The 16,875-nt window shown below is 45.4% G+C and overlaps 1 protein-coding gene across 28 annotated transcripts in view, besides 1 other annotated feature; it reads right to left on the bottom strand.

Moving 5' to 3' along the window:
- Positions 1 to 16,875, bottom strand: part of DOCK3 (dedicator of cytokinesis 3) — a 709,272-nt gene that overhangs the window by 32,552 nt on the left and 659,845 nt on the right. For 25 of the 28 annotated variants that reach the window (XM_005264914.4, NM_004947.5, XM_006713010.4 and 22 more), the window contains 5 exons: positions 13,228 to 13,288; positions 12,619 to 12,712; positions 10,262 to 10,410; positions 2,709 to 2,795; positions 1,255 to 1,359 (listed from right to left, as the gene is read on the bottom strand). In XM_005264914.4, coding sequence (XP_005264971.1) covers positions 1,255 to 1,359; positions 2,709 to 2,795; positions 10,262 to 10,410; positions 12,619 to 12,712; positions 13,228 to 13,288 — 496 coding nt within the window. The remainder of the gene's footprint in view (positions 1 to 1,254; positions 1,360 to 2,708; positions 2,796 to 10,261; positions 10,411 to 12,618; positions 12,713 to 13,227; positions 13,289 to 16,875) is intronic. The other 3 variants (XM_006713009.4, XM_047447602.1, XM_047447603.1) reach the window with 1 other exon arrangement.
- Positions 10,894 to 11,778: an enhancer, noted in NCBI's record as "H3K27ac-H3K4me1 hESC enhancer chr3:51377300-51378184 (GRCh37/hg19 assembly coordinates)". NCBI's record gives its function as "activates a minimal SCP1, AML or CMV promoter by ChIP-STARR-seq in primed H9 embryonic stem cells {active_cell/tissue: H9 hESC(primed)}" and the evidence as "EXISTENCE:reporter gene assay evidence [ECO:0000049][PMID:30033119]".

Genomic DNA, 16,875 nt, shown 5'->3' with positions numbered 1-16,875 from the left:
TCTACTCATTCCCATTCTGCTACTAGAAACACTCCTGTGGAATAGAGTTAGAGCCTTCCTGGGGATCACAATTAGGCAGTGAGCTTGCTGTCCCTGTCATATTGCCAGTGCTCACACAGATCGTTTTTCCTTCTAGCCTAGAATGATTACTGCCCAAGAAAAGTGCAAGTTGACCTGCCTTACTTCTGCAATGTGGTTAGCCTGGACTCTGCCGCTAGCAGACTAGCTTTTTTTAAAGGAGCTATTAAGCCCGGTTGACCTTTGATGTGATAACAAGCTTGTTATTGCTCATTGGCTAACCCAATTTCTCCAAGAAGACAGGATCCCAAACATATCAAAGGGAATTTTCCCAGCTACTTGCTGAGGCTTGTGGACAGTGAACTTTAGTTAAAGATATTGGAACTGGGGGTGATCAGCGATTAGCAATTAGGTCTCAACTGCTCCAGGGCCCACACATCAGGGCAGCTTCATTTAGATCATCTGAGAACACATCTCTATGGGATTCAGCCTATAGTGTATGTTGACTACTCCTAGAGCCTCTGAGTTGTGCTGAATAAATAAGAAAATCACAACTGGTGTCAGTAGATCTATGCTCAGTCATCCTTTCCACTCTTTTTATATTCCAGTTCAGCCTGCCAGGGAACGGTAGGGAGAAAAGGCTGTTGTCATCCTGGGTCAGAGAACTGGCTGCCTAGAAGAGGCTTTCTACAGCCAAACCCAGTGCTTGGCAGCTCCCTCAGGATCCTAGGAGCCACATGCTGTGTTCTTCAGGTTCTCTCATACCAACAGTTCTCCATCCTGGCTGCACAGGCTACAGTGCAGCCAGGAGGAAAAACCATCATCTTAGATGACAAACCCTAAGAGGCCAGTCTACTGTTAAAGTCAGTGCTTTACTGGTGCCCTATATGGCTGAGAAGAGTCACAATGGAGGTTCCAGGCACTGGAGGCAGAAGTTGGAAGGCACCTATGGCACACTCTTAGACCCTGGTCACTTCCTGAAGAAACTCCATTGATTTAGTAAGAAAGCCACCCTCACACATTCCTGGTAGCTACAGAATAACAGAGCAGACTAAAACAGAGTCTGAAGTTGGCAGCCAGTCCAGTCAAATAAAACCAAATGCCTGTTGTTAACTGGTTTATCCTCTGTAAAGAAGTATTCAGTAGAAAAGGCAAAAAGGGGAAGAAAAGAATATCGGTTTTAAGTGAATTATGCGTAAAATATATAAGTTCTTGTGACCATCTGAATGGACTCACCCGAAGAAAGAAAGGAAACTTCCTGCCATAGAAGCCGACCCGAAAGAACTCAGGCTCCAGGCGTTGCTGCTCCATAATGTTGTCATAGTAGCTGGCCTCCATTTTCTGTGAATGAGAAAGGTCTTCAGGTTGGCTTGACTGCTGTTGGTATCCAAAGGAAGTTCTCCCAGGCCCAACTGGACACTGTCTTCTGGAAAGGGATCATGGCAACTCAATCTAGATAAGAAGTAAGTGAGCCTCTAGACATGACCAGCCTCTCTCCAGGGAGTTTCATCATGGAAGAGAAAGCCCTCCATCACCACTGTCTGATGGTGGGATGGGGACAGGCCTGCCCACTGCAGCCACGTGCAGCTGCTGTGAATGTCCTTCCTAGGGAATGGACTCAGCCCTATAGAGATCTGGGCTTACTGTACTTGGGAGGCACACTTTTAACACGGACATTTTCTGCCTGGGGATTTCTGGTTTTGACCAATACTCACTATACCAGTTGACCTCTGACTAGGTTGCTTGTAGCTGGCTACCATCAATTCTCACCACCATTTTGCATCAGTCCAACTCTTGTTCATCTATCATCTGACTAAAGATGCTAACAACTGTAGTGAGGAAGGCTCAGATGACAACAGCACTGGTACTCACTCCAAGTTAAGATATTTTAAACTTGAAAAGCTAACTAATATCCATGATGTCTAGCATTCCAAGGTCTGTAACTTTTTTACTTGTGGCTGACCTGGCTTCACATTCAGAAAAAAACTCACTGCAACTTTGATTGGGAAGATAGCTATAATGCATTCAATCAAGCCAGCCTGCCAGAACTGGTTAAGAAGCCACTGCTAGAGGAACATGCCCAAACACCAATCTGGATCATAGAACAGGAGAGTTAGCCACAAAGATGAGGGTGCAGAAAGGGTGAGTTGAGACTGCTAGCCTCTTTTTTGCTGATGAAATCAGCAGCCATTATGATTCAGAACCGAGCACCAGCAACCAGGAAAAATTTGGCGCAGACCTTCAAAGCCATCGAGCATTTGATTTAATTTTTTAATATTCTGCATCAAAGAAGGCAGCAAGTACAACATGCTTAAAAGTGACCATAAGCAAAGTGGGGAAAGCTCTTAAAAAGATTTTGGATGAAGCATCCATAAACAAAACCATTCCAGGAAAAGCTTCTCTGTGAAGTTGAGCTGCCACCTCCTTCTTGAAACCACCATCCTATCCTGCCTATGCCACTTCTCCCTTCTCTGAGCACCAGTGGCTCTTGGGGTCTAGATCATACAATTATTTGTCAGGTGTTATTTTTGGTTTCCTAGTCAGACTGCAAGTGTCCTGAGGGCAGGAGTCTTGGCTTTTGTTTCTCTTGTATTGTCCACAGCACTAAACTAAGGGCTGGGCCCATAGAGAACGCTCATTTAGAAACTGATGCCAGTCAGGGCTGGGGTGGGGGGAGGGGCACAGCTCACCCGAATCCAGCTGAGGCTCTGGTAATCATAGAGGCTCTCGTACTGACACGCCAGCTCCCTGCACAGTGGGATCCCAAACTCCCAGCTCTGTGTCAGAAACAGAAACAGGGCTTCAGCATCTCATCTTCAGAATAGCCTAAGCCCACATTAAACACATCAGAAGACACACAACAAAAGGTCTCCCGCCAGCTCCAACTCATGTGTCACAAAGAACATATACCTCAAGACCAATTTGGGGGGCATGACACAGCCGTGTGGCTTTCTAGCTCAAGCATAGTTTTTAGGTCTCTGCTCAAATGTCTCCACCTCCAAGAGGCCTTCCCTGACTGCTTTGTCAAGAACAGGCACTTCCTTGTCCATTTCTGTTCTGTTACTATGAAGTTATCTTAATTTAAAAAAATTACTTACTTTTCTTGTTGTATTAGTCTCAATCAGATGAGAAACAGAATGAGGGCAGGGACCCTGTTTATTTTGTTCTCAGAGACTAGAACAATGCCAGGGATGTATCAGGTACTCAATAAAGATTTATTTGATGAGATAATGAAACACTAATTTTTAGATTAAGATAGTTTAAGCTCAGAAACAAGTATGGAAACCAAGAAGAAAATGCCTACTCAAGGACTTGGCAGTAGGTCTGACAATTTCCTTTATGGAACTATTTGACCTTAAATTAGGCTTCAGATGATCCTTGCCTAGTTAGATTCCAGGCTTTCTGTGGTATGGCTCTTGTTACAGCAACATGCCCATGCAACAGCCTGAGAGAAGGCTGCAGTGGCCTTCATTAAGAGGCGATATTATCCATTTCCTCCTTTAAAAAAAATATATACCTCTTTTGGAAGTCAAATTGTCCCTGTTTGCAGATGACATGATTGTATACTTAGAAAACCCCATTGTCTCAGCCCAAAATCTCCTTAAGCTGATAAGCAACTTCAGCAAAGTCTCAGGATACAAAATCAATGTGCAAAAATCACAAGCATTCCTATACACCAATAACAGACAAACAGAGAGCCAAATTGTGAGTGAACTCCCATTCACAATTGCTTCAAAGAGAATAAAATACCTAGGAATCCAGCTTACAAGGGATGTGAAGGACCTCTTCAAGAAGAACTACAAACCACTGCTCAACAAAATAAAAGAGGACACAAACAAATGGAAGAACATTCCATGCTCATGGATAGGAAAAATCAATACTGTGAAAATGGCCATACTGCCCAAGGTAATTTATAGATTCAATGCCATCCCCATCAAGCTACCAATAACTTTCTTCACAGAATTGGAAAAAACTACTTTAAAGTTCATATGGAACTGAAAAAGAGCCTGCATTGCCAAGACAATCCTAAGCAAAAAGAACAAAGCTGGAGGCATCACGCTACCTGACTTCAAACTATACTACAAGGCTACAGTGACCAAAACAGCATGGTACCGGTACCAAAACAGAGATATGGACCAACGGAACAGAACAGAGTCCTCAGAAATAATACCACACATCTACAACCATCTGATCTTTGACAAACCTGACAAAAACAAGCAATGGGGAAAGGATTCCCTATTTAATAAATGGTGCTGGGAAAACTGGCTAGCCATATGTAGAAAGCTGAAACTGGATCCCTTCCTTACACCTCGTACAAAAATTAATTTAAGATGGATTAAAGACTTAAATGTTAGCCTAAAACCATAAAAACCCTAGAAGAAAACCTAGGCAATACCATTCAGGACATAGGCATGGGCAAGGACTTCATGACTAAAACACCAAAAGCAATGGCAACAAAAGCCAAAGTTGACAGATGGGATCTAATTAAATTAAGGAGCTTCTGCACAGCAAAAGAAACTACCATCAGAGTGAACAGGCAACCTACAGAATGGGAGAATATTTTTACAATCTACCCATCTGACAAAGGGCTAATATCCAGAATCTACAAAGAAGTTAAACAAATTTACAAGAAAAAATCAAACAACCCCATCAAAAAGTGGGCAAAGGATATGAACAGACACTTCTCAAAAGAAGACATTTATGTAGCCAACAGACACATGAAAAAATGCTCATCATCACTGGCCATCAGAGAAATGCAAATCAAAACCACAGTGAGATACCATCTCACACCAGTTAGAATGGTGATCATTAAAAAGTCAGGAAACAACAGGTGCTGGAGAGGATGGGGAGAAGTAGGAACACTTTTACACTGTTGGTGGGACTGTAAACTAGTTCAATGATTGTGGAAGACAGTGTGGAGATTCCTCAAGGATCTAGAACTAGAAATACCATTTGACCCAGCGATCTCATTACTGGGTATATACCCAAAGGATTATAAATCATGCTGCTCTAAACACACATGCACACGTATGTTTATTGCAGCACATTCACAATAGCAAAGACTTGGAACCAACCCAGATGTCCATCAATGATAGACTGGATTAAGAAAATGTGGCACATATACACCATGGAATACTATGCTGCCATAAAAAAGGATGAGTCCATGTCCTTTGTAGGGACATGGATGAAGCTGGAATCCATCACTCTGAGCAAACTATTGCAAGGACAGAAAACCAAACACCGCATGTTCTCACTCATAGGTGGGAACTGAACAATGAGAACACTTGGACACAGGGTGGGGAACATCACACACCAGGGCCTGTCGTGGGGTGGTGGGAGGGGGGAGGGATAGCATTAGGAGATATACCTAATGTAAATGACAAGTTAACAGGTGCAGCACACCAACATGGCACAGTATACATATGTAACAAACCTGCACATTGTGCACATGTACCCTAGAACTTAAAGTATAATTAAAAATATATATACCTCTTTTGGTTAGATTGAGGGTCATTAGTTTACTTGATATTTTACCCAGGCTCCCCAACTTCTCAATACTAATAAAAATGTTTTATTATAGGAAATTTAAGCATATAGAAAAGTAGAGAGACTAGAAGAATAAACCCTTATCCATCATCCAGCTTCAACAATGACCAACTCACAGCCAATCTTGTATTATTCATACCCTATTCACTTATTCCTCCCCATAGTATTTGAAACAAATCTCAGATATAATTTCACCGGTAAATATTTCAGCATAAATCATTAAACATAAGGACTATATTTGTAAGAATACTCTTTGAAATAGCATCAAGGAGAAGGAAAACACTGTTTCATTTGGGGTTGTGTTTCTCAAAAGAGTACATTTTTCTATCCTTCAAAGAAATTAACACCATATGGATTGAAACTGCAGGACCAATTAAAAAGACTAAAACAAACCAAAGAGGTTTTTGTTGTTGTTGTGTGTGTGCATGTGTGTTTTGTTGTTGTTTGTTTGTTTTTTTTGGAAACAAGGTCTTGCTCTGTCACCCAGGCTAGAATGCACTGGCATGATCACAGTTCACTGCAACCTTGAATGCTTGGGCTCAAGAGATTCTCTTGCCTCAACCTCCCGAGTAGCTAGGACTACAGGTGGGGCTAGGTGTGTGCCACCATGCCTGGCTAGTTTTTAAAATATTTTATAGAGATGGGGTCTCGCTATGTTACCTCGGCTGGTCTCAAACTCGTAGTCTCAAGCCATCCTACCACCTTGGCCTCTCAAAAGTGTTGACATTACAGGCATGAGCCACGATGCCCAGCCAAACAGAATTTCAAATAGACCCTGACTCCTTGCTTTAATATAATGCCTGTGCCTCAGTGAGCTAGAAAGCCTCTTGTACCCCCATTATCACAGCTTTCAAGGGGGCGTATATCAGTCCTCTCCAAGTGCCGCTTGGGCAGGTTTCAGCAATGGACCCACAACAGGGTCTACCTGGCTGGCAGCTTCATGGGGGCTAGCTAAGTTTACAGCTGAGTTGTATACAGACTTCTGGCCAGCCTGCCAAGAGCCAATCCATGGGAGACTGCTCATTTAGATGACAATGGCTGTATGTGTGGCTAAAGATGCCCTGTCTGCTAACAGTAGCTTTCAGTAAAAAACAGGTCTTCTCCTCCATTGGGATCAATGCTCATCTATCTTGCCGGCATCTCTGCCCTAGCTTGTAACCCTGATGCTCCAAGGCACCCCTCTCCACCACAATTATCTTTAGAATGAGCCAGGACCAAAAATTTTAAGACACTCTGCAAACCTTGAGGGGTATGCTGGAACACTGGTGGGCTTGGGGGCTTTGAGAGCTGCCTCTGCACAGAGTTAGTAAATATACTACAGGCGCAATGCATCCCCATCCACATCTTTTGCCTTGGTTTCCCTCCTTCAGGCAGGAGGCAAAGCTAACTCTAAAACTCCCTACCAGTGTCTGAAATCCAGTCACTTCTACCAGCTCCTGCAGATTTGTGCTTTTGTTTTGTTTTGAGACAGAATTGCTCTGTCACTCAGGCTGGAGTCCAGTGGTGCAATCTCAGCTCACTGCAACCTCCGCCTCCCATGTTCAAGTGATTCTCATGACTCAGCCACCCAAATAGCTGAGACTACAGGCATGCGCCACCACACCCAGCTAATGTTTGTATTTTCAGTAGAGACGAGGTTTCACCATGTTGGCCAGCTGGTCTTGAACTCCTGACCTCAAGTGATCCGCCCACCTTGGCCTCCCGAAGTGTTGGGATTGCAGGCGTGAGCCACCTTGCCTGGCCTAATATGTGCTTTTATATATCCTTGTTGCTCCCTCGCAGGGACAGCACAAAAAGTTGTACTGACTTAGGGGTCATTCTAATCAAATGGCAAAGGAAGGGAAAAGCATGGGCCACCTGTCTGGCAGTCTGTTTGCACATTACATATTAGAAGTAACAGTCATTCCTTCAAATGAGTGTGGACCATGGTAAACCCTCAAGCAGGAGAGCCCAAGCCCTCTCCCACATAAGTGGCTGGTCTAGCCCTGATGGTTTGCTAGCCTCTGTCCAGCTTCTCCTCCTGCCTGCTTCCTCCACCTAGAGATGCAGGACCAGCTCTGATCTTCACATCACCCCTTCCTTCTCTAAACTCTCACCCTGCCATATCCTGTCTCTTTGGAGTTTCCCTCTCTCCTTGTCTGGCCTGGGAGAGCTGACTGTCTGTGGACCAGAGCCCAGTCCAACTTGTAGCAGGTTTGTAAGTGAACCACCTCACTACAGGAGAGAATGGCCCAGGACTAGGCTATGGCCATGTTATTAGCCATGGCTAATCCTCTTGGGTACCCAGGACATAAACATGGGACCAAGGGAGATTGTGTTGTCTAAGGCAGACACCAGAGAGCATGTGCCAGCTTTGAGGGGTGTACTGGAACAATGGTGGGTCTGGGGGCTTTGAGAGCTGCCTCTGCACAGAGGTAGCAAGTGTACTACAGGTGCAATGCATCCCCATCTACATCTTTTCCTTTGGTTTCCCTCCTTCAGGCAGAAAGCAAAGCTACTCCAAAATGCCTTACCAGTCTCTGAAATCCAATCACTTCTCTTCTACTACTTTTTGTCCTTGTTCATTCTAAAGGTAACTGGAGTAGAGGCCTTGGAGTGAGTGCCTTGGAGCAGCATGGTTACAAACTAGGGAAGAGATACCAGCAAGATAGATGAGCCTTGATCCCACTGGAGGACATTTGTTTCACTGGAAGCTACTGTCAGCAGGCAGGGCATCTTTAGCCCTACATGGGGCCATCATCACCTAAATGAGCAGTCCCTATGGGGCAGCTCTTGGGGGTAGTGTCTGGAAGAAAAGCCAGGAGGGGCTTGCCTTGTGAGGCAGGGTGTGCTGGCAGTGTTGAGAGCTAGAAACTCACTACCTGCTCCTCCTTTCTTTCCTTGCCCTTCTCTTGTTGCCAAGGTGGCTTTTCTCTTGGTGCTAAACATCCCTGCCCCACGGGAGCATTTTTTTTTCCCATAGCATCTGGGTTTTGCTTTTCTAGAACCATGGTTTTCTTCTTGAAAACCCGGAATATTTTCAAGAAGGACTGGTTAATCTCACCTAATAGTTTCATCAGGAGCTGAGGCACAGGAACAGACAAGGTAGGCCTTCTGTGTGAGCCTAAGACAGTGGGTCTGATAACTGCCCCTCTGAGGATGAGCTCATGAGGGGGCTCACTGAGTGGTCTCTACTCAGCATAGACTCTGCTCCTCCAGAAATTCAGGGCAAAGGCAGGATTGCAGAAGTGAGGAGATTCCTGAGAAGGTGGCCTATGGAGCCTCCTAGTCCTTCTCTCCTTCTTGTCCATCTACAGTACTCAGGCACACTTTGTGTTTTACTCCCTAGTCCATGTTAAAATTTAATCCTGCTTTTCTATGCATTACTATAATGTGGGATGAATAGGGGACCATCAATGCTCATGCATCCCACGGGTAGACTCAGTCAGATTAGGATAACTCTCCACTCTGTACTCTGTGCCCATGGAAAGAAATGAGAATGAATGCACTAGAAGCACACATGCGTACTCACACCACGCTTATGTCATTCCCTGTGAGCTAGGAGGGCTTGCTGGGCATGAGGGTGAGGGGCAGCTCCAGGTTAGCCAGGTGCCAGGAAAATAGGCCTAAAACTGCATGTGAGGGGCTCTGTGTCAGGCGCTGGATCAGCAAGGACCAGAGGCTTTGGGTCAGCATTGTGGATCAGTTGCATGGGCTGGCTGAGAGCTGAGCATGGGCATCCTTTCTGGGCTAGGTTACATAAGAGTTTCTGCGCTTTTGGAAAGGTTCTTGCTTACCAGTGCATTCTCTGTATGGGGAAATGTTTTCTGAGTGAATATTTTTGACAAACATAGAAGTCCCCCATGTTATGTAAAACTGAAGAATGTTTTCTGATTTATAGACAAAAGCCATTAATGTTTAAATCTTTCTTTTTGATGAAAAAACTCATCTCAAAAACCAATTTCCATTTGAGTTGGGGGCTCAGCTACTACAGTTCCATGAATGACCCTATTTCAGCTTTAAAATGTGCTCAAAGCTTAGTAATGAGAAAATGGCTTCAACAAGTTTTTCCAGCACAAGGGCCCCATCTAACAGTAGGTAGTCAGAGGGCGCCACACAGAGCTCTCCCAGAGATGGGAGGAGAATGGCTGGGAAGTCCCAAGGAAGCCTAAACCAGTGCTGACAATGCTGCCAATCCCATAGAAAGTAGTTTGATGGAAAATAACCCCAATATGAGAGGAGCCCAGGCTGTGCTGTAGAGAAGGGAAATCTAAGAAAAGAACACATACCAGTAAGAGGCAGTTTAGGCCGCCTTTGGCTGTGGTTAAAATCCATTCATTTCTACCACTCATATTTTATATGGCAGCAGATTAGAAAGCCGTATCAGTTCTTTAAGTAAATCCAATAAAAACAAACAGGGTTCCAGAAGCCCCTGCTGTAGAAGCATTCATATTTATAGATATGCAAAGCTAGTATGTAGGGTAGTCTCTAACACCTACAATCTGGATATGGCTTTCAAGCCACAGAATTAGGCTGTTGTCTTTTTCTCCCTCAGAGAAAATCATGCTGCCTCCACATCTTAGGCACATAGATAGGCACCCACCCACTCACCACCCCACACACTACCCCCTGCAGCTGCTGTTAACCCTATGGTGTCAAGATGCCATGCATCACAGCAGAAGCTGAAGGGCTAAAGGGCTTGCCTAATGATGCATACCTTGCCTTTGTTGAAGTAGTGAATGATCTTCCGGCACAGTCCCTCCTTCCGCTGCCACTCTGTCTGCGATGGGTAGTGGAGGAATTCCCGTAGTGGCCGGTCCTCCCACTGCAGCAGCTCACAGTAAAGGAGCAGGGTAAATGCGGCCTCTGTGGGGACAGACAGCATGGAGGTCCAGGGGCTTCCCTTGCTCAGAGGCCCAGGAGCAGCCTGGTGTCAGAGGACTATGCTGGGCAGAATGCCAGCGCAAGTCATGTGCAGCCCAGGTCGGGGACACTGGATACTAAAGATGAAACAGTAGGGCTGCTCAACAAGCCAATAACCCTTGTCCACAGCATGAAGGAGCCAAATATTCTGGTAGACACCTTCCTTCCATGGCCTGGTCACCTGTTCCAGCCTCCAGATTAATAAAGAATGGTTCAGCTACCCAAAAATCTGTGCACAGGCTGCCTTGCTTTGGGAGACATTGACACATCAGAGAGAGCTCTTGGGTTCCTTTTTGCTCAACTGACTACAGCTTCCTTTCCAACCTTCTCAGAACTGGCTCTTAGGGCTCCATTACCAAAGGAACCTAAATTGATACTAGACCCAGAGTGAAGGCCTGGCAACATCTTACTCTATGTGTGGAACAATTAGAGAAGGTTATGTAAAACAACAGCAGTGAAATACCATGGCTCCCTACATTCCAAGGGATGAGTCATACTGAATCACAGCCACGGCTCAGGGGCCTCATTACACAGTTTTCTCTCTGTTCTATTTGTTCATTTTTAGTGGGCATCTCCTACTGGCAAGTTAGTTAGTTCTAGCTTCTGTGCTTCTGCCTGGCTTTCAAGGCCCTACTCAAATCTACTCCCCATGACTATGAAGAATCTCATTTCTAACCATTTATTGACCCACTTCCAGTTTTAGCTAGGCCCACTTGCCTGTGTCCACTCTTTAGGCTCCTCCTCATCCTTGCCTTTTTGCCTGTGCCCTTGCCACTGGAACTTCCTGCCAAGGAATGTACACGCCTCCTCATGGGATCAGGAAGCCTTTTCTCTCTAGGGACAAGCCCTGTGGAACTCAGGGCCTCCCTCTGGAGCTTAGGAAACCATGGAACGTCTTTTTCTTCCTTGCCTATATTCTTTTCAGATGTCATTCCCTGAGCCATCAGAGACAAGGCTTAGCACTCTTTCTCTGTTAAAATCCCTGACCCAGCCTCTCAGTCATGGCCCCGTTTCCTAGGAGTTTAGCAAATGCTTCTACTGATACATAACATTTATCAAAGTCTTTCTCTTCAATGCCCTCTCAGAGGGTTGCTGGGATCATGGGTGCAAGTGGATGCAGAGAATGGTAGACTCAGCCCAGTCATTTTATTTTATTAGTCAGCTGAATTTAAGATTCAAAGCCCAGTCATTTTAGATTTAATTCTTGCCAAGCTATGCTATCAGATAAGATACCATCTATGCCAAACACTCTCTAACGGCTAGAGATAAAGAAGGAGGATTCTCTGTTTCTACAAATCTATCTAATTGCAGTAGCGTTTGCAGACAAGGATAGCTTAAATTTCCTGATCTATCACACAAATTCAAGTCCTATCGCCTAAGAGCTAAGACATAATGGCTGGTCACCACAGTGGAGAAAATGGCTCTTTGGGGGGAACGATGGCATAAGTCAATCAGATAGGACACACATGCATGCACGTAACCCCGATTCAGCGTGGTTCTCAGTAAACAGATGTGACAGCCACTTTGAAATGCTTTAAAATTTGTTCTAGTTAGAAAAGGCCTTGATATTGGATTAAATTGTAGATACAATGAAAGGAGCCCTATCTGGCCTGTCAAGAAGTCAGATGAACATTCTTTATACTCTACACTGAGTGCACAATGTGAGGCTGCTATGCAGTTGCAGGGTCTGAAGAGCCTAGCCTGCAAGGAAGGTCTGCTAGTGAGTTCTGGAAGTTCCAGGGTTAGGGGGATATTCCTTTGTTATAACCTTAGCTCCAGCTTTGAAAGTCCTAAAAAAGGCTCTCTGTTCATAAGGAGTGACAGTGAGCTCAGGATGCTCTGAACCTGGTGCACCAGAATTTGGAGGTCACCCTTGAGACTTCAGAGGGGTGGATAGGAGGGAAGAAGAGTGAAACAGACTCAAGTAGTGGATGACATGGCACAAAGGCACAAGTGGAAGTTCTGCCTGCTTTCTCTCTACCATGTGCCACAAAGGAGTTGAGGGAAATGAGTGAGGTGAGGGGATAGCACAAGCCCCAACATTCTGCTGAGATCTGGCAGGCACCAGCCTGAAGCCTTTCTCTGCCTATTGTACAAATCCCTTCAGTTTGTCCTCATGGTCAGGCATGGCTCTCTCTTCTCCCCACTTACCTGTGTAGTTTTCGGCCTGCAAGTGCATGTCACAAAGCTTATGGATGTAGCGGATATACATTTCTTCCTTGTTAATCTCAGATTTGTAAAAATTCTACAATAAAGAGAAGGAAACACCTGTCAACTACCTGTGGAAGCCATAGCCAAGCTCTGGGCAGCTGGCCATAGCCGTGGGTGTGCTGGGCAGGAGGGGGAGGGCAGGCCCTGGAGGCAGACAGCACCAGAAGGAGAAAGCACCAGCCAGAAGGAACACCTGCTGTGGGTGGAACCACTGGCAGGTCTATGGGAGCCCTGGGTAGTGTTAAGAGGAAAAGCATCAGGGCAGATCAGGAGTCAGGGTTGACTGTGAATTGGGTATGTCAGGGTTAGTGGGTCCTTGCCAAGAGGCCAGGCTAGAGTTCTATCCAAAGAGAAGCTCGTTTCATTCCTTCCCCAAGTAGGAATGTGTTTGGGGGAGTGCAGGCCTCTAAGATACCAGTAACAGAGCTGATGTCCTGATTCAAACCCTTAGGCCTGCAGCCATGTATTGTAGAAGGGCCAAGCCAATCACAGTGCAGGACAGAAACCATTTCAGTAGGCAGAGAGAAGTCAGGGCCCATGTCCTCTCACCATCAGGTTAACAGTGCAGCCTATCTTCTTATTCTCTGTTTCCTCTCCTTTCATGCAGTCCCTGGAAGAGAGAGCACAGATGAGCACCAGATATGAAGTGGGGCCTTGAGACAACACATAGAACTGTACTATCACTGGGGCATTAGTATGACCAAATCCCAGATTGAGATGGCCTCCAACAGGAACTGCTTCCATAGATAAGGACTCTACTGTGAGCTCCTTTAGCTTTGGAACCACTCTCAGGGCTCAAAGATCTCTGTTCAACTGAGCCCCTTATTCTGGTGGCAGAGCACAGAGAGAGCCCAGAGCTACATCAGGGTATTAAGTGGCACCTACCAATGTCCTTGGCACAAAAGGGTATATGAATTAAGTGGAAGGCCAAATCCTCAACTTCCCAAAAAGGGAGGCACAGAATTCTCCTTAAAGGGCAGGTTTCATTTTGTAGGAGTGCTGAATAGAAGCCAAGACCCTCCACTTCAGGGCCCTAGCTTCAGGGCTCTGTACATGTTCACCACCTAGTTGACATTTCTCCCTATGGTTTCCTTCCTGTGTACTAGTGTTTGGAGCCATCTATCACCAGAAGCAGCAGGTCTCGTGCTTAAAGCATCAGCCAGGACTGAGCTGCATTCATACCTAGCAGGGTCTGGGTGTAGGAGGGGTCAGGGATGGCCTGTGAGAGATAGGAAAATAGGAACACTGAGAATGGATCTTTTCCAAGATAGGGAGAGGGTTGGTCAAAGCCAAGCTCCTCTGGAAAGGAGCAGAAGCCTGGCACAAGGAGATGAAGGAGAATGAGAACCAGACTGGTGAATCCAGCAAGACATCTCCTATGCCAGCCAGAGTGCCATCTGCCTGATGTGTCTCCTTCCATAGCAGCCCACACTGCTATGGAGAAGATCTAGTTTCTTGTGCAGCTGTGTATTAGCAGCTCTGGGGAAAAGCTGCAGAAAGGGGTTTATACAGATTTCTAGGGTCAGGTTGGAGAGTGTCTTTGGCTTTGCTCCACTGGCAGGCACAGGGCCCAGTGAAGAGCAGTACAGCTGGGAGTCAGGGTCCCTAGGCCAAGTCACTGAGCCTCTGGATGGTCATTTGACAAACCCAGTTCTCCCCACCTTCCCATCATGCAGAGGAAGAACCTTGGGATGACTTCTTTGAAAGAAAAGGATGTTGAAAATCCATACTCCTCTCATGATATTCTGCAAAGCCAAATGTCCTTCCTGTGGAAGTCTCCTGTCAGAGTTGATAGGTTTGAGAGGTTTGGAACCAAGGCCCTCCTTTCTAGGGGGGTTTGACCTATCAGCACATTCACCACGTAAGATATTTGGTTCCTATGTAGCCAGACATGAGGGTCCTGAACATCCCTCTGCAGAACCTGTCCCTTTAGCGCTAGCAGAGCCAGGAAACTGCTTGACTTTTCGAGGAGTGAGGCTGAGGTCAGATGGCCAAGTTGTTCCAAGCAACCCACACAATGGTAGAAGGCATCTGTCTCCCCAGTAAGTTGGCCCCATGAAGGGCAGTGAGATTTTACCTAGCCACTTTGGCATTTAGTGATTTGTATTTTCTATAAAGCATCTGAAACATTTACCACGGATTAACTTCTATTTGGCCATAACCAGAACTTCATAGCTAAGTCCCTTAAACAGAAAGGAACTGGCCTCAACACTGTGATACCAGGGGCATCCTACACACTTCTGTGCTCTATGACTGCTTCTCCTCTGCACTGCTGACAGCAGACTCTTTTTTTGTGTACCTCTGCATCACTTCTGTGTGGCTACTTCATGGTGGATGCCTTTTAAAGTCTGACTTAGGTGCAGCTGTTGCTTTCCTCTTGCTCTTTCTCTGAAGGGTGAGCAGGGAAGACTCCAGAAAGAGGCTTCTGAAGCATCCGGCTCACCTGAGTAGTGGGCTGGCTGGGGACTACATCAGTGACCAGGAAGCCCTCATTGCAACCTGAGAGGCCTGGGAAAGGAAGGCTTCATAACCCTCAGTTGCCCATTCCAGGTAGAGGTTCCACTCTGAGCCACAAGGGCTTGGCAACTCTAGCTCTGTCCCTGTCTGTTCCAGGCACAAAAAAAAAAACAAAAAAACCCTTCTAGGGCTCTGCTTCCTAACCTGGGAAATATAGTTACTACCAGTGAGAATCTTCATGTCTGACACAGAGTGTCTGAGATTCACACAAAAGTTAAAGACATTGATATAAAAGTTGAAGAGGTATTCCTCTGAGTACCTAAAGTTTTGCCAGTCTAAAATTGAGTCTTACATAACAGGTTCAGGTAATTCTAGAGTACAATCTATTGATTATTTGTTTAATCAATGTATGTATTTTAAAACTTTGAACAATTATTTTTTCCTTTTTGTTTGATGTCCTTCCCTTGAGTCATATCAACAACTATTTTCTTTTTCTTTTCTTTTCTTTTTTTTTTTTTTTGAGACAGGGTCTCATTTTGTCGCCCAAGCTGGAGTTCAGTGGCGCAATCTCAGCTCACTGCATCCTCGACCTCCCCGGCTAAAGTGATTCGCCCACCTCAGCCTCCAAAGTAGCTGGGACCACAGGTGCATGTCACCATGCCTGGCTACTTTTCCAATTTTTCATAGAGATGGGGTTTCGCCATATTGTCCAGGCTGGTCTCAAACTCCTGAGCTTAAGCAATTTGCCTGCCTTGGTCTCCCACAGTGCTGGGATTACAGGCTTGTGCCACTGTGCCTGGCCAACAACTCTTTTCTTAGTAAGTTCTTGAACTAACTGCATTGAGGCAGAGGAAAAGAGTTGCTTGGTTCCTGCATGGTCTTTCCAACAAGTTTATCACTCATTATTTACTATGCACCTGCCAGGAGCTGGCCCCCATACAGGGGAACAGGGAGATAAGGACAAGGTTCCTATCCTCAAGGAGCTGGTCCTCTTTTGTAAGGTAAGACAGAATGACAAATGATCATCATTCAATGTGTGCACGGAAAGGTAAGCTCCTGGCTTGGGAAAGCTTCCTTAATAGGGGTGAGTTGGAAGACCACTCTTGGGAGAGAACACAGCATACAGAGAAACCTGAAGGGAAAATACAAGTGATTAAGTGGTGACAACATGGACACAGAGATAGGGCATGGTTCTTGAGTCAGCTAGATCTGGGTTCAAATCCTAGCAGTGGTACTTCTTCTTCTTTTTTTTTGGCTTTTTCTTTTTTTTTTTTAAATTATATTTTAAGTTCTAGGGTACATGTGCACAACCTGCAGGTTTGTTACATATGTATACTTTAGTTGTCTCCTCATGGATAAAAAGAATGAGGATGCTTATGGGATTAGAGAAAATGTATGTAGAGCACTCGTGGTAGATTTTCAATAAACAGGGGCCATCATCAACATTATGCTGTTTCCTTTCATGTTAGCAAGAAGCAACACTGGGAGGCTGGTGTGTAGGGCATGAGTACTGGGGACTAGCAGAAGATTGGTCTGGAGAAGTGAGTAAAGGCCAGTGATGCCATATTAAAGACTTTGGCCTTTTTGTAGATACCACCATTGAGACAAGAAATAGAGAATGAAGTTGCTTTTGGGCATGAGTTTGAGCTGCTTGTAGAAGGCAGCTAAAGAAATCAAACAGGCGGCTAGAATAAGGCCTTGGAGCCTAAGAAATTATTTTCTGCTCCTTTGTTAGGCCAC

This window comes from Homo sapiens, chromosome 3 (genome assembly GCF_000001405.40).
Source record: "Homo sapiens chromosome 3, GRCh38.p14 Primary Assembly".
In the NCBI taxonomy this organism is placed as follows: Eukaryota; Metazoa; Chordata; class Mammalia; order Primates; family Hominidae; genus Homo; species Homo sapiens.
Note: the sequence above shows the minus strand (reverse complement) of the source record. Positions and strands in the feature narration are given on the sequence as shown.